Below are 25871 nucleotides of genomic sequence, written 5' to 3' on the forward strand. Positions count from 1 at the left end.
GCCCGCAACCTTCAAGAAGGAAGCACTCAGATACCAACAGGACATATTTCAAATAGTTTAATTTTAAAAATATTCTATTCAGTGCTAAAATATGTCTTCACTCACTGTTGCCCATTTCCATTTTCTTAAACTTTTTTGAAACAAAAAATAAAATCACAAAGTTCAATTCAACATGCAGATTTCAAAGAAAAGGGAGCTTTCTAGAAACTGAGCTGAAGGGGTACTGTGGGGGATGGGTACTGTTGTCAGAACCTCAAATTCTTGCTGGGGCAGTTTGTGACAAGAGGCAGGGATGCTGGAATGACAGGTAGAGGTGAGAACAAAGCTGCGTGTGTGCAGATGTGTGTGCTGAGGGCAGGGGATGGGGACGGCGGCCACAAAGGGCTGTCAGCAGCTAGGGTGCCCGTGAGAGGTAGGACCACCTCAGGCATGGGCAGAGCTGGCAGGACAGCAAGAAATCTAGACGGACTCTCTGCCCTTGTGTGGAGAAAAGCCCTTCCCTTCCCTCCAATGTCTCTACCCAGTCCTCCAACAGCAGCCTACAGGGCCCCCAGTCCTAGGGGAAAGTCCGGGAGTCTACAGTCTCCGTTCAAGTTCAAGTAACCTGAGGCACGCTCTCTTCTAGAAGGTGCCTTCCACATCTCTCTCTTCTCGCAGAAGCTGCCAGCAGCTCCGTCCAGAGATTCTGGAGCAGAGACTGCTGCCTGGAGGTCACAGATGAATCTTGGGGTGGCCGATGCTCCAGCCAACTTGGGGTGCAAAAAAGACATGAGCGCTCCTCTTCTCGGGAGCAAGTAGACACAGGTGCCAGGGTCAGGAAGATGATGCTACAGCCCCAAGTCCTACGCCAGCCTTCCAGCCCGGAAGGCTCATGTGTGCAGGCTCTTGACCCCAGTGCTTGCCCTTACCCCAGCAACGCGGCGCGGCCAGAACCAGAATGCAATAAATAGAGGCAGGGCCAGGAGGCGGAGGGCCGGGATGGTGCTAGCTTTCTGACGCCGTCTGCGGCACTGTGGGTTGGTCCACACAGAAGCGCTTCAGGGGCGGGGCACCTGAGTCTTCCTCTTCCTCAACGACCTAGGAGCAGGCAGAGCATGGAATGCCAGGGCCACCCCTCCCAACCAGAACCTTCCCACCCACCCGAATTATAATGGGATGTCCACTCTGCTCCTTCCAGCAGATGATCAAACATCCTCCCCTGCCTACAACCCTGGGACTCATTTCCGGCGCTGCAGATCCAACCCCACATCCACAGTCTTTCCTGGTTTTTTGACTTAGAAACTGGGAAGCCTGGCCGGGCACAGTGGCTCACACCTATAATCCCAGCACATTGGGAGGCTGAGATGGGTGGATCACTTGGGCTCAGGAGTTCGAGACTAGCCTGGCCAACATAGTGAAACCCCATCTCTACTAAAAATACAAAAATTAGCCAGGTGTGGTAGTGGGCGCCTGTAATCCCAGCTACTCAGGAGGCTGAAACAGGAGAATTGCTTGAACCCAGGAGGCAGTGGAGGTTGTAGTGAGCCAGGATCGCACCACTGCACTCTAGTCTGGGCAACAGCGAGACCCTGCCTTAAACCAAAAAAACAAAAAACTGGAAAACTCAAAGTGATTGCTTACCTGTGTCTCTAGTGGAACTGGTTCTTCCTTGGTGAGGGTAGGAGGTTCATCAGCAACTTCCGAGGAGGGCAGGGAGGGCTCTGAAAAGGCAGTAGGGTCGGCCTGAGGGCAGGGCTCCCCTGAGGCCTGGACCTGGGGGAGCTTCCTTAGAGCTGTGTGGAGGTGGCTTGGTGAGGAGGGGAGAATACTGGCCTGAGAAGCAAACATTCATTCAGGGCCCAGCTGGACCAGGTCACAGCCAAGAATGGTGGAAGGGCAAAATACGGCTAGACTGCAGAGGGCCATCTCTGCTGGGCTGGAGATATCTGGAACCGACAAAGCAGCTCATCTTGTCATCCTCTAGCCCAAACATCACAACTCTAACTCAATCTCCCAGTTTTCTGAGAGTTGCTATGAGGACGAGATGAAGTAATAAAACACAGGAGCTAAGAACAGCACATGCCAAATAGTAAGAACACAATAAATATTAACTACAATTGGCATTTCCCATGGAGAAACAAGTTCCATTTTGTAGTTGGCTGTTAACAGGTCACAGCACAGGAGAAGGTAACAAGGGCCTAAGACACATCTATATATCCATATTATAACAAGAAACCTGGGTCGGGCATGGTGGCTCACACCTATAATCCCAGCTACTCTGGAGGCTGAGGTGGGAGGATCACTTGAAGCCCAGGAGTTCAAGACCAGCCTGGGCAACATAGTGAGACTCCATTTCTACAGAAAATTAAAAGAAAGCCAGGCATGGTGGCAAAGGCTTACAGTCCTACTACTACGGAGTCTGAGGCAAGAGGATCACTTGACCCCAGGAGTTCAAGACTGCAGTGAGCTAGGATTCAGCCACTGCATTCTAGCCTGGGCAACAGAGCAAGACCCTATCTCTTTAAAAAAAAAAAAAAAAAAAAAAAGAAAAGAAAAAAATTTAGCATGTAATGCAGACAGCATAAATGCTGAAAATAGAAGGACTTAAAGTGACATTCATTCCAACAGTTACTAGACTGGCTATGTGATCTCAGACAAGCGATTTAACCTTTCTCTGTTTTTTTTTGAGATGAAGTCTAGCTCTGTCGCCAGGCTGGAGTGCCCTGGTGCGATCTTGGCTCACTGCAACCTCTGCCTCCTGGGTTTAAGTGATTCTCCTGCCTCAGCCTCCCGAGTAGCTGGGATTACAGGCTTGCGCCACCATGCCTGGCTAATTTTTGTATTTTTAGTAGAGATGGGGTTTCACCATGTTGGTCAGGCTGGTCTCTAACTCTTGACCTCAGGTGATCCACCCACTTCGGCCTCCCAAAGTGCTGGGATTACAGGTGTGAGCCACCGCGCCAGGTCTTTTTTTTTTGAGATGGAGTCTCACTCTGTTGCCCAGGCAAGAATACACTGGTGTGATCTCAGCTCACTGTAACCTCTGCTTCTTGGGTTCAAGTGATTCTTCTGCCTCAGCCTCCGGAGTAGCTGGGATTACAGGCACATGCCACCACGCCCAACTAAATTTTTTATGTTTTTAGTAGAGACGGTTTTGCCATGTTGGTCAGGCTGGTCTTGAACTCCTGGCCTCAAGTGACCCGCTCACCTCGACCTCCCAAAGTGCTGGGATTACAGGTGTGAGCCACCATGCCCAGCCCAATTTAACCTTTCTAAGCTTTGAATGTCCATTTTCCTCATCTGTAAAAGAAGACAATAGCTGCCACCTCACAGGATTTTTGAGAGAATTATAGCAGGCGTCAAATACTCAAGTTCCTTCCACACAGCCTGGCACGCAACTCTAATGCTTGTTTTCTCCCTTCCCTCTGTGAAAGGGGAAACTATAATCATTCCTAAGCTATCGAGAAAGGGCTTGGTGCTGCCTGGCTCTGAGGTGCTCTCTCGAGCCTGTTACTCTAAAGACGAGACACAACAAGAGCAGAAAGCAAGGCCCTTCTAGGAAACTCATCCTCGGCCAACCACGACTCACCCTCCAGGATCTCCTGGCCCAGCGTTGGGGGCTGGGAGTCATCCGTGCGGAAGTCGGAGGTGTGTGCTGGGCTCAGGGACTCACTCTGCTGGGGGCTGGGGCTTGAGTTGGTGCTGCTGTCCACCTTAAGCTGATAGACGTCAGACACGGAACTCTGGTTGCTGTTTTCGTCTGAAAACCAAACAGAACAAAGGCAGCAGCTGAGCGTGGTCATTTTCCTCAAGAGGAACTCTGGACAGAGCCAAGGGCCTGGCATCACTTTAGGCAGCCAAGGATACAACTGAGTATAATAATCATTGTGCCCGGCCTACACGACATAGATTCTAAGCACCAGAGGCAGCCAGAATCTTTATGTTTATGCAACATTACACTTTAGGAAGGTCAGGATATGCTTATTAAACTCTTCTTTATTATCCACTGATTGCAGCTTGTGGAAGGGAGGGATGTAGCTGTGTCTCTGGTCAGTACTTCTCAATCCTTCTCACATCATAAGATGTGTAGAAAATGACATTTGTCAGGCATCCTTGGGCATCTGAAGGAGGCTGGTGGTGTCTGAAGGTGGTGAGCTCAGGCTTCGGCTGCCGGACTGACGGATTAGCACCTGGGAGTTCTGCCTGAAGGCTTAAAGTCACCATCAAGGTGCAAAACTTAAGAGTTACCAGGCCGAGGCCAGGCACGGTGGCTCACGCCTGTAATCCCAGCACTTTGGGAGGCCGAGGTGGGCAGATCACAAGGTCAGGACATCGAGACCATCCTGGCTAACACGGTGAAACCCCGTCTCTACTAAAATTACAAAAAATTAGCCGGCTGTGGTGGTGGGCACCTGTAGTTCCAGCTACTCAGGAGGCTGAGGCAGAAGAATGGCATGAACCTAGAAGGCAGAGCTTGCAGTGAGCCGAGATCGCGCCATTGCACTCCAGCCTGAGCAACAGAGCGAGACTCTGTCTCAAAAAAAAAAAAAAAAAAAAAAAAAAGAGTTACCAGGCCGAGTGCAGTGGCTCACGCCTGTAATCCCAGCACTTTGGGAGGCCAAGGTGGGCGGATCACTTGAGGTCAGAAGTTTGAGACCAGCCTGGCCAACATGGTGAAACCCCGTCTCTACTGAAAATACAAAAATTAGCCGGGCATGATAGCACGCGCCTGTAATCCCAGTTACTTGGGAGGCTGAGGCAGGAAAATCGCTTGAACCCGGGAGGTGGAGGTTGCAGTGAGCTGAGATCGTGCCATTGCACTGTAGCCTGGGTGACATGGCGAGACTCCGTCTCAAAAAATAAAAATTAAAATTAAAAAAAAAGAAAAAAAGTAAGAGTCACCAATGCATTCCTCCGCTGCACCTACAGTAGCCAGTCACCAAAGTGTTTCCCCCTCCTGCTCTGGTATCATTTGTGCTCATTCCTTCCTCTCCTACTGCTTCAGTTCAAGCCTCATCATCTCCAGCCTGGCCTCCTGCAACAGCCACATACCTCACTGCCCTGCCTCCAGTCTCACGTACCTTAAACTGAACTGCAAACCACTGCCAGAGAGACCTTTCTAAACCCTTCGACGCTCCACTGCTGCCTAAGGGAGAAATGTCATACCCAGTACTTTTTTTTTTTTTTTTTTTGAGACCGAGTTTCGCTCTTGTTGCCCAGGCTGGAGTGCAATGGTGCTATCTCAGCTCACCACAACCTCTGCCTCCTGGGTTCAACTGATTCTCCTGCCTCAGCCTCTTGAGTAGCTGGGATTACAGGCTTGCGCCACCACGCCTGGGTAATTTTGTATTTTTATTAGAGACGGGGTTTCACCATGTTGGTCAGGCTGGTCTCGAACTCCTGACCTCAGGTAATCCACCTGCCTCAGCCTCCCAAAGTGCTGGGATTACAGGCATGAGCCACCACGCCCAGCCATACCCAGTACTTCTTAGGAGAGGCAGGAGCTGGCCTTATCGCAACATAGGAAGTCCTTTCTGATCTCTGGCCTCAGTGCCTACTGTTCTCCTACAAGCATCCTCAGCTCCAGGCAGACTGGACCCTAACCCAAGAGCTTCGTCATGCATGGGTGCTTCTGCCCAGCTGTTCCTTGGCTAGGCTGCCTTCTCTTGTCCTGGAAAGCCTCAGACCTCCCAACACAGCCCCGACATCACTTCTTCCGCGGAGCCCTACCTCCCTGGCTCGCATAGGTGGAAATGCCCACCCTCTCTTACTCTCCTGTGATAGCCTGTGCACGCCTGCATTTATCATTTCGCACACGTGCTTCCTCCCATGAGCCTCTGTGGACAGGCTCTGTGGCTCACTTGTCCTTGACTCCCCAGTGCAACGCACGGTACCTGCATACAGTGGGAGTTCATTAAGTGTTTACTAAATGAAAAGGAGGAGATGGTGGCCAGACTGAGGAAATGGAGCCTCATATGTCTCCCAGAGCCTTCTGACTACTGAACACACGTTGGTGTTCCCTTTCCAACAGCACATGGTTGACCTTGGTGGGGCCTGGGAAAGAGGTGGGGAAGGAATAACTACACGCTGGGTTAGCTCCAATCTGGTTTTGAAGAGAAAGTCATAAACTCATGCTAGTCTTGACTCCTATAAAGACCTTTAATACCCACACTAAAATGGAAGTAGCATTTTGTCACCAAATGAATAAAACTGTCACTTTTGAGCTTAGACAAAACACTGTTCCTCCCTGAGCATCAGTTTCCTTAAATAGGGATGATAATAACTGCCTGGTTTATATCACAGGCTGATACATGGGTAAAAATGAGAAAGTAAAGTAAAAGTGCTTCGTAGACAGTACCTAGCAGGTAGGTGTAAAAGGCAGTATCATGACTACGGTGATGATCCGGCGGGATTGGTTTAGGAGGCAGAACATGTCCTAACAGTGGGTAAGCAGAAGCTTCGGCTTTGGGTAGCCTACTCTAAGCGACTATGATAAAACATACAGTCTAGGCCAGGTGCAGTGGCTCATGCTTGTACCTTGGGAGGTCAAGGCTGGGGGACTGCTTGAGGCCAGGAGTTCACAACCAGCCTGGACAACATAGCCAGACTCTGTCTCTACAAAAAATAAAAAATAAAAAATGAAGTACAATCTAAAAAAAAGCTTCTGATTCGGACAACCAGGACCTGACATGGAGTCTGTCACTTACAAGTTATGTAACTTTAGACACGTAACTTAACCTCTCTGAGCCTCAGTTTCCTTAACTGGAAAATGAGAATACCATTACCTATCTTGCAGAGTTATCGTGAAGTTTAAATGAAAAGATTTAGGTCAAGTGCCTCGCAAAATACCAGCGAAACAGCAGGCACTGAATTGATACACAGAATTCTTTTTTTTTTTTTTTGAGACGGAGTCTCACTCTGCAGCCCAGGCTGGAGTGCAGTGGCGCAATCTCGGCTCACCGCAACCTCCACCTCCTGGGTTTAAGCGATTCTCCTGTCTCAGACCCCCGAGTAGCTGGGATTACAGGCACGCGCCACCACGCTCAGCTAACTTTTTGTATTTTTAGTAGAGACTGGGTTTCACCATATTGGCCAGGCTCGTCTTGAACTCCTGACCTCAGGTGATCTGCCCGCCTCAGACTCCCAAAGTGCTGAGGTTACAGGTGTGAGTCACTGCACCTGGCCAATTCTTCTTATTAATGCATTCATCCAAGTTTTCATTCTCCTGCAAGGAAGACACAGAGATGCAACTCACCCTGGAATTCAAGAAGGAGAGAGGAATTGGCTGAGGCATCAGAAGGAAAGCCATTAGGTTCTCGGGCTGCTGAACTGTTCGATTTTGACTTTTCTTTCTAGAAAAGGAAAAAAAGAGGAATATGACAGAGCCAAGCAGGAGACTCACAGAGAGGGAGGAGGGTGCTATGTGACAGACCACAGAGGTCTGGATTAGGACTGAACAGGAAAAACGACAGCAGCGTGAGAATCCAAGGACCCAAGGAAGAACAGAATCCTGGACAAGCAACTTCTCCTCAAGCCTCAGAAAAATGAACCCTTCCAGCAGGAATACTGTGAATCATAAGCAACAGGCAGATACATACACTTCGACTAGAACATCCCATAGTATCCCTCTCCTGCCCTGATCAAATTGCGCCAGGCAACCCTTCTCTATACGAATGGGCAAGAAATACAAAACACTCATTTGAGAAAGATTCCTGTTTCAGTAGCAGAGTGGGGAAAAAGTGAGAGAAGAAGGAACCTCATGTAACACAGACAGTGACAGGACAAATGGGCCCAGGCTGGCTCTATTCCTGATCCGTCATCCTCATCCATTCAAAACGACCACCCCAGCCGGGCGCACTGGTTCACGCCTGTAATCCCAGCACTTTGGGAGGCCAAGACGCATGGATCACCTGAGGTCAGGAGTTCAAGATCAGCCTGGCCAACATTGTGAAACCCTATCTCTACTAAAAATACAAAAATCAGCCGAGTGTGGTGGCATGTGCCTGTAATCCCAGCTACTTGGGAGGCTGAGGCAGGAGAATTGCTTGAGGTGGAGGTTGCAGTGAACCAAGATGGCACTACTGCACTCCAGCCTGGGCTACAGTGCGAGACTCCATCTAAAAAAACATAAAATAAAACAAAAAATAAAATAAATAAATAAATAAATAAATAAAAATACAAAAATGAGCCTGGCATGGTGGCATGTGCCTGTAATCCCAGCTACTCTGGAGGCTGAGACAGGAGAATCGCTTGAACCTGGGGGGTGGAAGTTGCAGTGAGCCAAGATTCTGCCACTTCATAACAGCCTGGGCGAAAGAGCGAAACTCCATCTCAAAAAGAAACAAACAAAAAAACCCAAAAAACAAAATGATCACCCCATGTTTATTTTTACCTATAACATTTGTTTCAAGAAAGATGTAGGTTATAAGTGCAGGGCAACCACAGTGGGCAGGTAAGCACCAGCTTGCAACAAGAAAGCCCAAGGGCCAGGCACAGTGGCTCATGCCTGTAATCCCAGCACTTGAGGAGGCGGAGGTGGGAGGATCCCTTGAGCCCAGGAGTTTGAGACCAGCCTGGGCAACATAGTAAGACCCCATCTCTACAAAAAAATAAAAAATGAGCCATGTATGGTGGCATAGGCTGGTGGTCCCAGCTACTGAGAAGGCTGAGGTGGGAGGATCGCTTGAGCCTGAAAGTTTGAGGCTGCAGTGAGCTATGACTGTGCACTCCAACCTGGGCAACACAGTTAGACCCTAACTCAAAAAAAAAAAAGCCCAGAGTAAATCCAAGCATATGAAAATGAGAGCATCCCAAAAGCCAAAAGTTTAAATCTGAGTAGCCTCAAATTTACCAGTTCACACTTTTTATACATTTCCGGTAGATGCATTATATTAGTAACGTAATTTTTGTTAATAACTCAATTTTTTGTTTGTTTTTTGAGACAGAGTCTTGCTCTGTCACCCAGGCTGGAGTGCCATGGCACAATCTCGGCTCACTGCAAGCTCCACCTCCCAGGTTCACGCCATTCTCTTGCCTCAGCCTCCCGAGTAGCTGGGACTACAGGCGCCCACTACCATGCCCAGCTAATTTTTTGTATTTTTTAGTAGAGATGGGGTTTCACCATGTTAGCCAGGATGGTCTCGATCTCCTGGCTCCAGGATGGTCTCAATCCGCCCGCCTCAGCCTCCCAAAGTGCTGGGATTACAGGCGTGAGCCATCGCACTCGGCCAAGGAAAGGGGGTTTTCTAGCAGCATCTACTCCTGTCTATACACAATGCCCAAGAGATTTAACTGCTTGACCTTTGACCCCTGTGGGTAATGGCCAGAGCCAGGCTGGATGGGGGAATAAACAGTTGCTCCAGAACCACGCCCCATCAACTCCATGAGTTTGGCATCCTAGAACTTCTTGGGATGGCTGCTCTCAGATAAAGGCAGAGTCCATACAGTTGGTGCTAGGAGGTTCCCTGGAGCCAGAGAGGACAGCAGAGAGCAAAAGGGAGAGGCTGAACCCTGAGGCTAACCTCAACCTCCTAAATTCATTTACAGAAAGGAAAACTGGCCGGGCGCGGTGGCTCACGCCTGTAATCCCAGCACTGTGGGAGGCCGAGGTGGGCCGATCACGAGGTCAGGAGATTGAGACCATCCTGGCTAACACGGTTTTCACCCGCCTCCACTAAAAATACAAAAAAATTAGCTGAGCGTGGTGGCGGGTGCCTGTAGTCCCAGCTACTTGGGAGGCTGAGGCAGGAGAATGGCGTGAACCCAGGAGGCAGAGCTTGCAGTGAGCCAAGATCGTGCCACTGCACTCGAGCCTGGGTGACAGAGCGAGACTCCATCTCAAAAAAAAAAAAAAAAAAGAAAGAAAAACTACGGATCAGGCTTCCGTCCTCCTCGTAGTTACACATTACCAGCCAATGCAATTGAGAGTCCCAAGGGAATAAAAGGTGAGTGCACGCATAAAACTCACCAGAGATTGGAGGAACACAGGCACCCTGATAAACAGAACAGTCTGTACCAGAAGGAGCAGAATAACTGAAATTAAACATGGATTTGCTCAGAAAGATAAGGATAATATTGAAAAGTTGTTTTAGCCAGGGGCAGTGACTCACAGCCTGTAATCACAGCACTTTTTGGGAGGCCAAGGTAGGCAGATCACTTGAGGTCAGGAGTTCGAGACCAGCCTAGCCAATATGGTGAAACCTGTCTCTACTAAAAATAGAAAAAAATTAGCTGGGCATGGTGGCACATGCCTGTAATCCCAGCTACTCAGGAGGCTGAGGCAGTAGAATCATTTGAACCTGCAAAGTGGAGGCTGCAGTGAGATGAGATCATGCCACTGCACTCCAGCCTGGGTGACACAGCGAGACTCTGTCTCAAAAAAAAAAAAAGTCGTTTTGAGGAAGAACCAATTGAGGCAATTTGTTATGAAAAATACAATTGCTCAAATAAAAATTAAGTGAATGAGGTTAATTGAAATACATACAGCTAAATAAAAGATTAATGAGCAAAAACTGCGTTGAGAAACTCAGAATGCACCAGGAAAGACAAGAAATGAAATGAATGAGAGAAAAGTTAAGAAATAAAGCAGTTGGCCAGGCGTGGTGGCTCACGCCTGTAATCCCAGCACTTTGGGAGGCCAAGGCGGGCGGATCACCTAAGGTCAGGAGTTCAAGACCAGCCTGACAACACGGAGAAACCCCATCTCTACTAAAAATACAAAAGTAGCTGGGCATGGTGAGGCAAGCGCTACTCGCGAGGCTGAGGCAGAAGAATCACTTGAACCTGGTAGGTGGAGGTTGCGGTGAGCTGAGATTGTGCCATTGCACTCCAGCCTGGGCAACAAGAGCAAAACTCCATCTCAAAAAAAAAAGCAAGCAAGCAAGCAGCTGCGTGGGTGCAGTGGCTCACACCTGTGATCCCAGCACTTTGGGAGGCCAAGACAGAAGGATCGCTTGAGCCCAGGAGTTTGAGACCAGCCTGGGAAATACAGCAAGACCCTGTCTCTACAAATAATTTAAAAGTTTGCCAGGCGTGGTGGCACGTGCCTGTAGTCCCCGTTACTTGGGAGGTGGAGACATAACTATTTCTTGAGCTCAGGAATTTGAGGCTACAGTGAACCATCATTGCACCACTGTACTCCAGCATGAGCTATGGAGTGAGACAGTCTCAAAAAAAAAGGAAAAGAAATATTACAGGATATTTTGAGGGAATTCCTAGGAGATCAAATATAGAAGAAATGCTAAAGTTTCCAGGAAGCCAAGTAGATCACCTACAAAGACTCAAGCATGGGAATAACATCACATTTCTTAACAGCGACACTGGATGTACAATTCAGTAATAGCTTCAAAGTGCTGAAAGAAAATAATTTTGAACCTAGAATTTCATATACAGGTAAAATCATCAATTTTCAACATGAAAGTGAAACAAAGATATTTTCAGAAAGTTTTCCCCACAGAAGCTCTCTTTGACAAAACTCTTGAAGGATGTATTCTAGCAAAAAGAAAAACAAATGTAGGAGAAAACAGTAAGAAGTCGGTGCATGAGGCTGAGCACAGTGGTTCACACCTGTTACCCCAGCACTTTGGGAGGCCTAGATGGGCAAATCACTTGAGGTCAGGAGTTCAACACCAGCCTGGCCAACATCATGAAACCCCGTCTCTACCAAAAAATACAAAAATTAGGCTGGGTGTGGCAGCATGCACCTGTAGTTTCAGCTACTGGGAGGCTAGGCACCAGAACTGCTTGCACCCAGGAGGCGGAGGCTGCAGTGAGCCAAGATTACGTCACTGCACTCCAGCCTCAGAGTGACACCCTGTCTCAAAAAAAAAAATGTAGGTGCATGAAATTTTAGGCGAGCCTGGGCGCAGTGGCTCACGCCTGTAATCCCAGCACTTCGGAAGGCGGAGGTGGGCAGAACACGAGCTCAGGAGATCAAGACCATCCTGGCCAACATGGTAAAACCCTGTCTCTACTAAAAATACAGAAATTAGCCGGGCCTGGTGGTGTGTGCCTGTAATCCCAACTACTCTGGAGGCTGAGGCAGGAGAATTGCTTGAACCCGGGAGGCAGAGGTTGCAGTGAGCTTAGATCGCACCACTGTACTCCAGACTGAGCAACAGAGTGAGACTCTGTCTCGAAAAAACAAAACAAAATAAGGAAACAACAACAACAAAAATTAGCTGGATGTGGTGGCATGTGACTGTAGTCCCAGCTACTCAGGAGGCTGAGGTGGGAGGATCACTGGAGCCCAGGAGACAAAAGTAGAAGTAAACCGAGATTACATCACTGCATTCCAGCCTGGGCGACAGATTGAAACCGTGTCTTACAAAATAATAATAATAATAAAAAAAGGAGCAGGCCGGGCACAGTGGCTCACGCCTGTAATCCCAACACTTTGGCAAGCCGAGGCGGGCGGATCACCTGAGATCGGGAGTTGAAGACCAGCCTGACCAACATGGAGAACCCTAGTCTCTACTAAAAATACAAAATTAGCCAGATGTGGTGGCGCATGCCTGTAATCCCAGCTACTTGGGAGGCTGAGGCAGGAGAATCGCTTGAAACCAGGAGGCAGAGGCTGCAGTGAGCCGAGATTGCGCCACTGCACTCCAGCCTAGTCAAGAGAAGCGAAATTCCGTCTCAAAAAAACAAACAAACAAACAAAAAAAACTCCAAAAAACAAAACTCCTGTTTCTGGTGGGAATATAAATTGGTACAACTACCATTTCAGCAAATAGTTTAGCATCAGCTAATATAGGTCAAAACATACATACCCTAAGACCCAGCCACTTCCCTTCCAAGAATATATCCTAGGAAAACTCATGTACATGTTGATGTGGATTCTGAACAAGAATGCTCACAGGGGCATTGTTCCTATTGGCCCTAACTGTGGACAACCTCAATATCTACAGGAGAACCAGAAAAATAAACTACACTTAGCCATGTGATGAATATGCAGCAAAATACAGCAGAGAGAGCAATGGAAAGGAATGGGTAACTCCAAGGACAACATGGATGCATTTTACAAACATAATGCTGAGCAAAAGAAACAAGACACACGAAAATAGATACTTTATCATGCTGTTTCCATAACACTCAAAATGTTAGAGGCTGGTGCAGTGGCACATGCCTGTAATCCCAGCTATTTGGGAGGCTGAGATAAGATCCCTTGAGCCCAAAAGTTCAAATCCAGCCTGGGCAACAATGAGACCCCCCACCATCTCTAAAAAAGGAAAAAGCGTGGGTACGATGGCTCATGCCTAAAATCCCACCACTTTGGGAGGCCGAGGTGGGAAGATCATTTGATCCCAGGAATTTGAGACCTATCAGCCTAGGTTGACATAGCAAACTCCCATCTCTCCAAAACAAACAAAAAAAAGAAAGAAAAAAAATTAGCTGGGCATGATGGCATATGCCTGTGGTCCCAGCTTCTCAGGAGGCTGAGGTGGGAGGATTGCTTGAGCCTGGGAGGTCAAGGCTCCAGTGAGCTGAGATCATGACACTGCACTCCAGCTTCGGTGACATAGTGAGATTTTGTCTCTGGAAAAAAAATCTCAAAAATAATAATAAAGGAAAAACTGTTTATGAATGACTAGACAAGTGGTAAGAAAAGCAAAAGTAGGAGAGTCATTACCTTTAGAGGGACAGGAGGAAGAGGATGGGAAGAGCTGCAGAGAGGTCTGCTGGGGTCTTGGCAAAGCTGTGTTTTGCAGAGTGGTTCTCACAAGAGTGTTAGCTTTATATTTATTCATACACTGTACATTTATGTTTTATATACTTCTCTGTATGTGTTTTATATTTGAAAATTTAAAAAACAATTAGAAAAAATAAAGTTGGAAACAATCTGGGTATTTATCACCCAGAAAATATGTAGATAAAGGTACTCACTGCAAATAAGAAAATGCAATGCATGAGTCAAAGGTAATAATTCTATTTATATTTACAGATACATGGAGGGTTCTCAAAACAAGGTTGGGCCAGGCACGGTGGTTCATGCCTGTCATCCCAGCACTTTGGGAGGCCAAGGCAGGCGGATTACTTGAGGTCAGGAGTTTGGGACCAACCTGGCCAACATGGTGAAACCCGTCTCTACTTAAAATAGAAAAATTAGCCAGGCGTGGTGGCAGGCGCCTGTAATCCCAGCTGCTCAGGAGGCTGAGGCAGGAGAATTGCTTGAACCTGGGAGGCAGAGGTTGTAGTGAGCTGAAATTGCACCATTGCACTCCAGCCTGGCGACAGAGCGAGAGTCCGTCTCAAAAAAACAAAAAAGCAAAAAACCCCAAATTAAAAAACCAAAGTTGAACCACAGAGAATACAAAGAGGTTCTGGCAAAATACTGTACATATTTTTTTTTTGTTTTTTTTTTGTTTGTTTGTTTGGTTTTTTTGAGATGGAGTCTCACTCTGTCGCCCAGGCTGGAGTGCAGTGGTGCGATCTCGGCTCACTGCAAGCTCCGCCTCCTGGGTTCACACCATTCTCCTGCCTCAGCCTCCCGAGTAGCTGGGACTACAGGCGCCCACCACCATGCCCGGCTAATTTTTTGTACTTTTAGTAGAGACGGGGTTTCACCATGTTAGCCAGGATGGTCTCGATCTCCTGACCTCGTGATCCGCCCGTCTCGGCCTCCCAAAGTGCTGGGATTACAGGCGTGAGCCACCACGCCCGGCCCACATATTTAAGTTTTGTTTAAACACAAAAATACACATATGAAACAATGCTATGTATTTTTAAAGAATATACAGGTATCCAAATACATCCAACAAAGATGAAGCACAAAGGTCTACACCAGAATTAGAAAGATGTATATACATATGATACACACAATACAGTGGGGGACTAATCGCATAAGAGCAAGTATCAGCAAACTTTTTCTTAAAGGGTCAGATGATAAATATTTTAGGTTTTACGGGCCATTTGGCCTTATGGCAACCACTCAATCTGCCACTGTAATTCAAAAGCACCACAGACAATAAGGAAATCAGTGGGCATACTTATGTGTTTGGTTTTTTTTGTTTGTTTGCTTATTTTCGAGATGGTGTGTCACACTGTTGCCCAGGCTGGAGTGCAGTGGCGGGATCTTGGCTCACTGCAACCTCTGCCTTACAGGTTCAAGCGATTCTCCTTGCCTCAGCCTCCTGAGTAGCTGGGATTACAGGTGCCTGCCAGCAGGCCTAGCTACTTTTTTTGTATTTTTAGTAGAGACAGGGGTTGCACTATGTTGGCCAGGCTGGTCTCGAACTCCCGACCTCAAGTGATCCGCCCACCTTGGCCTCCCAAAGTGCTGGGATTACAGGCGTGAGCCACCACGCCCAGCCAGTTATGTTCTAATAGAACTATACTGACAAACCTAAGGAATACGCCAGGGCTGTAGTTTGTCAAGCCCTGGAAAAGAGGCTTGGGTTAAGGGAAAGGAATAAAGTAGGAAAATAATAAAGAGAGGCCTTGCATGGACCAATAACAGGGTACCTTGAAGTATTTTCCACTCAATTCTGGGCAAATAAATTCCTTTAATTAAAAGGCAATTAGGCCGGGTGCAGTGGCTCACGCCTGTAATCCCAGCACTTTGGGAGGCTGAGGCAGGTGGGTCACGAGGTCAGGAGTTCAAGACCAGCCTGACCAACATGGTGAAACCCCGTCTCTACTAAAAATACAAAAATCAGCTGGGTGTGGTGGCAGATGCCTGTAACCCCAGCTACTTGGGAGGCTGAGGCAGAGAACTGCTTGAACCCAGGAGGTGGAGGTTGCAGTGAGCCAAGATCATGCCACTGCACTCCAGCCTGGGTGACACAGCGAGACTCCGTCCCAAAAAAAAAAAAAAAGAGGCAATCAAATAAAGAAATAAAGAAAATGGTATCTTTTGATTTTCTTCCACACTTACCTCCTTGCTGTCTGTCACAGGAACCCACTTAAATATCCTCAGGGACGTGTCACCCACAGTCACCCACTTCTTCTCCCTAAAAGAAAGACACTTCTTAGAACGGATAAAACAATGCAATGTGTTTTCTGTTCATCACTTGTGTTTTTCTACTACTCAGCAGATCATTCCTTCAATCTGGAATCCTTCTGAACTTCCTCTTGGTGGGGTATGGTAGCTCACACCTGAAATCCCAGCACTTTGAGAGGCTGAGGCAGGAGGATCACTCAAGCCTAGGAGGTTGAGAACAGCCTGGGCAATTTAGCGAGACCTCATCTCTAAAAAAAAAATACAGGCCAGGCGCAGCGGCTCACGCCTGTAAACCCAACACTTTGGGAGACTGAGGTGGGCAGATCGCTTGAGGTCAGGAGTTCGAGACCATCCCGGCCAACATGGTGAAACTCTGTCGCTACAAAAAAAAAACAAAAAGTAGCTGGGCGTGGTGGCGTGTGCCTGTAATCCCAGCTACTCCGGAGGCTAAGGTGGGAGGATCCCTTGAGCCCAGGTGGCAGAGGTTGCAGTAAACTGAGATCACGCCACCACACTCCAGCCTGGGCAACAGAGACCCTGTCTCAAAAGAAAGAAAGAAAAAAAAAAGGATGTGGGACATAAGGCTGGAAGGTAGCACACACAGCACCATATTCTTTTTTACTTGCATGCGAGTTACTTTGAGTGCTTTTCTCTTTACCAAATATATGAGTTCTATTACTACATTCCTTTTCTTTGTTTGTTTTAGTGAGACAGGGTCTCGTTCTGCCTCCCAGGCTGGAGTGAAGTGGCACAATCATAACTCACTGCAGCCTTGACCTCCTGGGCTCAAGCAATCCTTCCACCTCAGCCTCCTGAGTAGCTGGGACTAGAGGCGCACACCACCACGCCCAGCCAAATTTTTATTTTTTGTAGAGATGGTTGGGGTGGTGGGGTGGGGGTGGGGGGTCTCTCTTTGTTGCCCGCGCTGGTCTTGAACTCTTGGTCTCAAGCAGTCTGCCCACCTTGGCCTCCCAAAATGCTGGGATTACAGGCATGAGCCACCACACCTGGCCTCCTGTGTCCATTTAAAGACCCTTCCAAGGGGCAAACAATCTCAGGAGAGACACCTGCTGCTGGGGGGTATGGCCTGGTGGGTGTGAAATGTTAGGAACCTTTCCCTTTCTGGGTTACTAAGACTGCATAAAGAAAAAGAAAACTAGGCCAGGCGCGCTGGCTCACACCTGTAATCCCAGCACTTTGGGAGGCCAAAGTGGGCGGATCACGAGGTCAAGAGATCGAGACCATCCTAGCTAATACGGTGAAACCCTGTCTCTACTAAAAATACAAAAAATTAGCTGGGTGTGGTGGCACGCACCTGTAGTCCCAGCTACTCAGGAGGCTGAGGCAGGAGAATTGCTTGAACCTGAGAGGCAGAGGTTGCAGTGAGCCGAGATTGCGCCAATGCACTCCAGCCTGGGTGACAGAGCGAGATTCCGTCTCAAAAAAAAAAAGAAAGAAAACTAGTCTAAAGAAATTTTTAAATTTCAACTTTGAAGTTCAAAGCTTTGTAGAAATCCTGTCTCTTGCTGTGTTCCAAAGGGGTAAAAATGGCAGAGTTTATCAGTCCACTACGCTCACGAAATAAGCAAAGGGATAAGCCTTGCACAAGGTCACTCTCTAAATGACTAAGGACCCCCAACTATCTACACCAGATTAGAATGCCACTGTTCTGAGCTTACCCACAGAGTGCCTTCGAGGTCTGCAAACAAATGTGTGGAGGAGATAGAACAAAGGAGACTTTTTTTTTTTTTTTTTTTGAGATAGGGTCTCCGTCACCCAGGCTGGAGTGCAGTGGCGTGATCACCACTCCTTGCGGCCTCAAAATCCCAGGCTCAGGTGAATCTCCCATCTCAGCCTCCCAAGTAGCTGGGACTACAGGCCACCACGCCCAGTTAATTTTTTGTATTTTTAGTAAGGATAGGGTTTCACCATGTTGCCCAGGTTGATCTTGAACTCCTGGGCTCAAGCGATCCTCTTGCCTCAGCCTCTCGAAGTGCTGGGATTACAGGTGTGAGCCACCGTGCCCAGCCTCTCCTTCATTCCAAGAAGGTTATTCCCTAAGCGTGCAGGCAGAGAACAAATTTGCTTATTTTAAGGTCCACCAATACCTTAAGAGGTACTTGCTGTCAGTAGGAACAAGGGTCAAATGCAGGGAACTGCTTTGTCACAGATCTGAGCCAACTTCTCAAAGAGTCAAGTCCAAATATGAAGTCACGAAAAAGCAAAAAAAAAGCAACTGCTGTTGTAGTTGTTGATGCTGTTCAGCAAATGATGACATAATAGGGCCGGGCACGGTGGCTCACACCTGCAACCCCAGCACTTTAGAAGGCTGAGGTGGGTGGATCACTTGAGCCCAGGAGTTCGAGACCAGCCTGGGCAATATGGTGAAATCCTGTCCTCACTAAAAATACAAAAATTAGCCGGGCATGGTGGCGCACACCTGTAGTCCCGACTACTCAGGAGGCTGAGGCGGAAGAACTGCTTGAACCCCAGAGGCGGACACTGCAGTGAGCCAAGACCACGCCACTGCACTCCAGCCTGGGTGACAGGCAAGACTGGGTCTCAAAAAAAAAAAAAAAAAACAGATGACATACTGGGAGTGTAAAGAGACTGTGATGTAACAGAAGGAGCGAATTAAAGTCTTAGAAAATAACTAAAATTAATTCCTGAACAGACCACTCCATTTTCTCATTTATTCAACCAATTAGTATACAACAGGCTGTGCTAGGCCCTGGTGATGCAGGGAACAAGATCCACAGTCCCTGCCCTCACAGACCCTGTCTTATATCTGGAAACAGACATGAATAGCTCAATTCAAGATTAGTCACTTAATCATCAGGTTCAACCATATCAAATTGCCATTTTTGTAGGTTAATTAGTCAAATACAGGAGGCCAGGCACAGTGGCTCACATCTGTAATTCCAGCACTTTGGGAGGTCATGGTGGGAGGACCACTTGGAATTCAGGAGTTCAAGACCAGCTTGGCCAACATGGTGAAACCCGGTCTCCACAAAAATACAAAAAATTAGCTGGGTGTGGTGGTGTACACTTATAATCAGCTACTCGGGAGGCTGAGGCAGAATTGCTTGAACCCGGGAAGCAGAGGTTGCCGTGAGCCAAGATCGCACCATTGCACTCCAACGTGGGTGACAGAGCAAGACTCTGTCTCAAAAAAAAAGAAATCAAATATAGGAAATGTCTTATGAGTCCATCTAATACAACTGTGGAAAGGTCTATGAAGGAGACTTGATCTAGATTGGGAATCTCAAGTGGTAAACCTAAGGAAGCAACTTTTGAGCTGAGCTAGGAGTTAACTCGGCAAGAGGGAGGAGAGGAGAGAGGAAGAAGAATGCCAGGCGGCAGGAAGAGCAGAGTGACTTCATTGGTAAGACAGCGGGCATCCTGGGAAAGAGCCAGCCAAGTGAGGCAGGAAGGAGGGCCTTCTTCAGTATTTATCCTAAAAGCAAGAAGGGAACCACTGAAGCATTACTAGGGGTGCTAGGATAAGATGCACATTTTATATATTTTTTTACAGATGGGGTCTCACTGTGTTGCCCAGGCTGGAGTGCCATGGCATGATCATAGTTCACTGCAGCCTCAACTCCTGGGCTCCAGCGATCCTCCCACCACAGCCTTCCAAATAAGGCTGTGCACTTTAAAAAGGTCACTCCGCTACTCGGAAGAGAGAAAAATAAAATCACTCAGTGCAAATGAACAGACTGGGGAATGAGCAAGAGCAGAAGCAGAGAGTTTACAGGGAGGCTGGTACAGAGTTCCAGGTGACAGGGGATGGCCCTTCAGCCTAGCCTGCTAGGGGCGGGGGGGTCAAAAATGGGGAGAAGAGAAAGGTGTACCTGTTCTTAGGTTTCACCAAAACCTCGGAGGATTAAAGGTGGACGAGGAAAACCATGAGTATGTTAAACTAATATTTATACTGAAACCCAACTATATATGAAGCCCTCAGACATAAAAAAGAGAAGGAACTTCCCTCTTGTGGGGAAATGGACAGATAAACACACAAATAAAGTCCAACGTACCAACGACCTTAAAGGAGGTAAAGGGATGGGAGGAGTTAAGGAAAGCTTCCTGGCGGGAGGTAACATCTACTTGAACTTTTATTTTCTGTAGAGACGGGGTCTCACTATGTTGCCCAGGCTGGTCTCAAACTCCTGGCCTCAAGCGATCCGCCCACCTCAGCCTCCCAAAGTGCTGGGATTACATGCCTGAGCCACCTCACCTAGCCAGACCTGGGTTTTTAAATTATTAGTAGTAATTGGCTATACAAAAGAGCTGACGAAGTTGGCTGTGAAAGTTTAATGTGATGACTCCGATACACACCGATATAGTATGTATCGGAGTTCCGGATACTAAACAGGGGCTCAATCGGCATCTTCCATGAACATTTTAGACACGGGGTCTCTCTCCGTAGCCCAGGCTGGAGTGCCGTGGCACGATCATAGCTCACTGCAGCCTCCAACTCCTGGGTCCCAGCAATCCTCCCACCACAGCCTCCCAAGTAAGGATGTGCACTTTAAAAAGACCACTCTGCTACTTGGAAGTGAGAAAAATAAAATCACACAGTGCAAATGATGAACGGACTGGGGAATGAACAAGAGCAGAAGCAGGGAAATTAGAGGGAGGCTGGTACATAGTTTGCAAAGGACTCTCCTGACAGCCGCCGGGGCAGCAAGAGAAAATGCCTACCAAGCTCGCGGCGCAGGGGCCGGTTACTGGGGGAAAGGGAGGGGTATCCCTCTGGATGACACCAGGCTTGCTCCCTTGACAGATGGACTAACCCAGAAACTCACCCAACTTCAACGCCTGAATACGCAGAGCGCTCAGCCTGGCGGGCTGACACCACTCCAGGGCTACTCGCTATTATCAAGAGGAAGCCTGGAAACGCAGGCGGGGCCACTGCCCAGGAAGAGGGGAGGGCGGGCCCCGGGCTGGGCCGGGCGCGGGCACCGACGCCAGGCAGCTCCAGTCCGGGCCGGAAGCCGGAATCCCCTCCCAGGCGGCGCGCGGCAGCAGCCGCAGCAGGTGGGCGGGCCCGCGAGCCGGGAGGACCGCTGATTGGCCGCGGCCGGCGCGCCCTCTGACCTCACGCCGACGCCAGCGGCGCCCTCCTCCCGCCTTCTCCCGCACCCCCCTCCCCCAGCGCCGGCCGGTCGGCTCCCACCTGACCCGCCAGTCCCACGCTCCTCAGGGCCTGGATCCGCGACCCCCGCCAGCCCCCTAAGCTCCGGCCCCTCACCATTTCCGCACTTTCTCGATGGCCGCCATCACCTTCTTGATGTCGTCCTTGGCCCGGCTGCGGGTCTCCGCCCGGACCGACCGGCCCGACATGGCGGCGGCGGGAGCGGCGGGGGCCGGGGCACTGCTCCCAAGACACCGGGGATCGCGCGCCTCACGCGCCGCCGCCCGCCCGCCGCCGCCGCAGCGTCACAGCGGCCGTCGCCCCCTCCGTGCGCGCGTGCGCGAGAAAGCGCGCGCACCCGCCCGCCCCTTGGGGCTCACGGCCTCAGCGCGCCTGCGCGCCCCGCCCGGGGCGTCCCTCCTGAGTGCCCCGGGAGTCCCCTGAGCCCCCTACCCGGGCCGGGGTGCGAGGCGGGTTGGGCGCACGTGCTTGTGGTCAGGGCGAGGTGCGAGGTGCCGCCGGTGGGCAACCTGGTTCTCTTCCCTGAGAGTTTGGAGGTCGGCTCCCTGCTCTGGCCAGCGTGTTAGGAACCTGACCCTGTGGAACCGCACTCCTGCGCCATCTCTGTCCTCCCGCCTCTCCTGCCCAGCACCTTTGCCCTCTGGCTCCTACGCTGTGCTCCAACCACGCCTTTCTTAAGGATGGCTTCCGGTCTTTGCACACACCTGTTCCTCACCTGGAATCCCCTCCTCTCTTTACCAGATGAACTGCTTTCCCAGCATTCAGACCACATTCTTGCCTTTTCTCGAGTATCTAGTAGTCCCAAGTATTTGGGAGGCTGAAGCGGGAGGATCACTTGACCCCAGGAATTTGAGGCTGCCGTCAGCTATGATATGATCGCACCTGTGAATAGCCACTGCACTCCAGCCTGGGCAACATATGGAGACCCCATGTCTAAACGAGACCCCGTCTCTAAAGTAAATAAATAAAAAGATGTCTATTTTGTGCAAGACTCTGTACCTAAAGCTGAAGACATACGTGGTTTTGGTTTCAAAGAGCTTCCAGTTTGTTTATTTATTGAGACGGAGTCTCGCTCTGTGACTCAGGCTGGAGTGCAGTGGTGTGATCTCCGCTCACTGCAACCTCCGCCTCCCGGGTTCAAGCGGTTCTTCTGCCTCAGCCTCCTGAGTAGCTGGGATTACAGGCGGGTGCCACCACGCCCAGCTAATTTTTGTAATTTTAGTAGAGACGGGGTTTTATCATGTTGGTCAGGCTGGTCTGGAACTCCTGACCTCGTGATCTGCCCGCCTTGGCCTCTCAAAGTGCTGGGATTACAGGCGTGAGCCACCACGCCTGGCCTTTTTTTTTTTGAGACGGAGTCTCGCTCTTTTGCCCAGGCTGGAGTACAGTGGTGTGATCTCGGCTCACTACAATCTCCGCCTCCCGGGTTCAAGCAATTTTCTGTCTCAGCCTTCCGAGTAGCTGGGATTATAGTCGTCCGCCATCACACCCAGCTAATTTTTTTATTTTTAGTGGAGATGGGGTTTCACCATGTTGGTCAGGCTGGTCTTGAACTCCTGACCTCGTGATCCACCTGCCTCGGCCTCCCAAAGTACTGGGATTACAGGCGTGAGCCACCGCACCCGGCCCAGTTTATTTATTCATGTGGAGAGGGGATCTCACTATGTTGTCCAGGCTGGTCTTGAACTCCTGGTCTCAAGGGATCCTCACAAAGTGCTGGGATTACAGGCATGAGCCACTGTGACTGGCTGAGCTTCCAGTTTAGTAGAACATTCAGACGAAAAAAAAATATTTATTTTTTACTTTTACTTATTTTTTGGTACAGGGCCTTGCTCAAGTGATCCTTCTGCCTCAGCCTCCTGTGTAGCTGAGACCACAGGCGAGGGCCACCATGCCTCGCTGACATTTTTTTTTTTTTTTTTTTGGTAGAGACAGGGTCTTCCTATGTTGCCCAGGTTGGTCTTGAACACCTGGACTCAATTGATCCTCCTTCCTCGGCCTCCCACAGTGCTGGGATTGCAGACGTGAGTCACTGGGTCCAGCTTCCCAAAGCATATTTAAAATGCTATTTGATAAATGCTAGCCTAGGCGGAGCATGGTGGCTCACGCCTGTAATCCCAGCACTTTGGGAGGCCAAGGTGGGTGGATCATTTGAGGTCAGGAGTTTGAGATCAGCCTGTCCAACGTGGCAAAACCCCATCTCTACTAAACATACAGAATTAGCTGCTTGGAAAGCTGAGGCAGGAGAATCGCTTGAACCCAGGAGGTGGAGGTTGCAGTGAGCCAAGATCGCACCATTGCACTCCAGCCCGGGCAACAAGAACAAAACTCCATCTTGGAAAAAATAAATTAATTAAACAAATAAGTAAAATGCTATTTGATAAATGCCAGCTTAAGTAGGGGAGGGGAGGTGTAAGATGCTATGGCTTTTATTCCTAGTCTGCAGCAAAGAAAAAAGAGGTGTTATGACAACCTTAATCTTGAAGCTGACCTCTAAAAATAGGGTAGGTGCTGTTACTCCCAGGGCAGTGTTCACAGATGCTACAGATGCTCAATAAATGTTTGCATGAATGTTGAATCCAGTGCAAGCTCTTGTCCTCTTTGCCCCCACCCAATTGCAGGCAGGTGTCACCCACGCTTGCAGTATGCGGAGAGGGTCCTGTAGCAGCTGTTTCAGGACACAGCTTGGGACAGAAAGCAGATTGGTAGTGGCTGTTCTCACCTATAAAGAAACTAATTTCCATGTGCTCCAGAGAAATGCCTAGCTAGCCCTGAACTTGAGACAGCCTCTGATTATGAGTCAGCCTTTCATGATCAAGCAACATAGGGCAAGCATATGTCATCTTACTGGCGAGGGGGCCAGAAATAGCTTCTGCCTGACTGAGGAGTGCAAAAGCTGAACCAGCATGTGGAGTGAAAAGATGATTCTAGAAATAACGGGATCAAAGGTGGCACATTTGTTGTTCAGACCCAGCCGATCCAAAATAACCGCAGATTGCCTAAGCACCTGCTGTACGCCCTAGCACAGTGGACACTGCAGGTGATGTGAAGTTGAGTAAGACACACTCCTTGTCCTTGGGGTGAAGGTGAGGAAAGCAGTAGAAAGGCAGAACATACGTGCCAAGAGAGAGGCCAGCCCTTGAGACTTCTCCAGTTCTGCCCATAGATCCCCCTGGTTGAGGCACACAGCCCCTGTGTCTGTCTCACCCTTGTCCAAATCCTCCCACGTGAGGTTTCTTGTCTGTAGCTTCCTTCTCGTCCACAGCCCAGCGCTCCTCCCAGCTGCACAGGTTCCCTGCACACATGTCTCCCCCAGCTCACCCAGCCAGTCGTCTTCCTGGGGCAAAGTCCCAGAGACCCCCCCAACCTTGTTTTCTCCCTACATTTGTCCACCTAGTCCTACATTCCCCACCTCATCTTCCACTGGGGCTCGGTCTGTGTAAGAGAGTGATCAAAGTGGGCACCTACCACCTATTCCTCATAGCCTACCCAAATGCTCTGTGTTGATACCCTTTTTTTTTCTTTTTCTTTCTTTTTTAGACAGAGTTTCGCTCTTGTCACCCAGGCTGGAGTGCAGTGGCGCAGTCTCGGCTCACCGCAACCTCCGCCTCCCTGGTTCAAGCCATTCTCCTGCCTCAGCCACCTGAGTAGCCGGGATTACAGGCATGCGCCACCACGCCTGGCTAATTTTGTATTTTTAGTAGAGACGGGGTTTCTCCATGTTGGTCAGGCTGGTCTCGAACTCCCGACCTCAGGTGATCCGCCTGCCTCGACTTCCCAAAATGCTGGGATTATAAGCATGAGCCACTGCGCCCAGCCTCTTTTCTTTTTTTCCCTTAAGACGGAGTTTTGCTTTTGTTTCCCAGGCTGGAGTGCAGTAGTGCGATCTTGGCTCACTGCAACCTCCGCCTCCTGGGTTCCAGTGATTCTCCTGCTTCAGCCTCCTGAGTAGCTGGGACTAGAGGTGCCCACCACCACACTCGGCTAATTTTTTGTGTTTTTAGTAGAAACGGAGTTTCACCATGTTGGCCAGGCTTGCCTCGAGCTCCTGACCTCAGGTGATATACCCACCTCGGCCTCCCAAAGTGCTGGGATTACAGGCGTGAGCCACCACACCCAGCCTGACACCATTTTCTTAAAATAATAATAATAATAATAATAATAATAATAATCAGGTCCGGCACGGTGGCTCACACCTGTAATCCCAGCACTTTGGGAGGCCGAGGCTGTTGGATCAGAAGGTCAGGAGTTCGAGACCAGCCTGGCCAATATGGTGAAACCCCGTCTCTACTAAAGACACAAAAAATTAGCTGGGTGTGGTGGCGCGCGCCTGTAATCCCAGCTACTAGGGAGGCTGAGGCAGGAGAATCACTTTAACCCAGGAGGCAGAGGTTGCAGTGAGCCGAGATTGTGCCACTGCACTCCAGCTTGGGTGACAGAGCGAGATTCTATCTCAAAAAGAAAAAAAAAATCACATCTTGTCATTTTCTAGGTGAAAGGCTTGTGCTAGATGAGATGCCGAGGTGGATACAGAGGAGCCACCCCAGATCTCTGCATTGGGCGACCTGCATTCAAGGGCTCAGCTTCCTTTCTCACTTTGAGTACAAGCTACAGCGGCTGACAAGGCCCCATCCATCCCCAGGCATCATCCTGTTAATTCTCTGACCTCACCTCCTACAACTCTACCCGTGCTGTCTCTGCTCCAAATCCACTGGCCTCCTTGCTCGTCTGAAAGCACAGTCCAGCTCCTGCTTCAAGTCTCTGCACTTCCGCTTCCTCTACTGCAGCACCCAT

The 25871-nt window shown here is 49.3% G+C and overlaps 1 protein-coding gene across 5 annotated transcripts, besides 4 other annotated features; it reads right to left on the reverse strand.

The window, feature by feature from the left end:
• BCL7B (BAF chromatin remodeling complex subunit BCL7B) lies at positions 43 to 21377 on the reverse strand. 5 transcript variants are annotated; one of them, NM_001301061.2, is made up of 7 exons: positions 21174 to 21377; positions 17235 to 17356; positions 15854 to 15929; positions 7235 to 7331; positions 3569 to 3739; positions 1621 to 1700; positions 43 to 1077 (listed from the first exon to the last, which is right to left on the reverse strand). In NM_001301061.2, exons 1-7 carry the CDS (start codon positions 21174 to 21176, stop codon positions 985 to 987), a joined length of 642 nt encoding a protein of 213 aa, NP_001287990.1. In that variant the 5' UTR covers positions 21177 to 21377; the 3' UTR covers positions 43 to 984. The 5 variants fall into 5 exon arrangements, 4 of the variants coding, with proteins under 4 accessions (NP_001287990.1, NP_001698.2, XP_047276985.1 ...); NR_036682.2 differs by lacking the exons at positions 17235 to 17356; positions 21174 to 21377 and adding an exon at positions 20728 to 20923; NM_001707.4 differs by lacking the exon at positions 17235 to 17356.
• Positions 20713 to 21162: a silencer, noted in NCBI's record as "silent region_18250". NCBI's record gives its function as "represses an Ori minimal core promoter by ATAC-STARR-seq in GM12878 lymphoblastoid cells {active_cell/tissue: GM12878}" and the evidence as "EXISTENCE:reporter gene assay evidence [ECO:0000049][PMID:35858748]".
• Positions 21183 to 21232: a silencer, noted in NCBI's record as "silent region_18251". NCBI's record gives its function as "represses an Ori minimal core promoter by ATAC-STARR-seq in GM12878 lymphoblastoid cells {active_cell/tissue: GM12878}" and the evidence as "EXISTENCE:reporter gene assay evidence [ECO:0000049][PMID:35858748]".
• Positions 21253 to 21362: a silencer, noted in NCBI's record as "silent region_18252". NCBI's record gives its function as "represses an Ori minimal core promoter by ATAC-STARR-seq in GM12878 lymphoblastoid cells {active_cell/tissue: GM12878}" and the evidence as "EXISTENCE:reporter gene assay evidence [ECO:0000049][PMID:35858748]".
• Positions 21413 to 21652: a silencer, noted in NCBI's record as "silent region_18253". NCBI's record gives its function as "represses an Ori minimal core promoter by ATAC-STARR-seq in GM12878 lymphoblastoid cells {active_cell/tissue: GM12878}" and the evidence as "EXISTENCE:reporter gene assay evidence [ECO:0000049][PMID:35858748]".

The sequence above is a fragment of the Homo sapiens genome, chromosome 7 (assembly GCF_000001405.40).
Source record: "Homo sapiens chromosome 7, GRCh38.p14 Primary Assembly".
Taxonomy (NCBI): domain Eukaryota; kingdom Metazoa; phylum Chordata; class Mammalia; order Primates; family Hominidae; genus Homo; species Homo sapiens.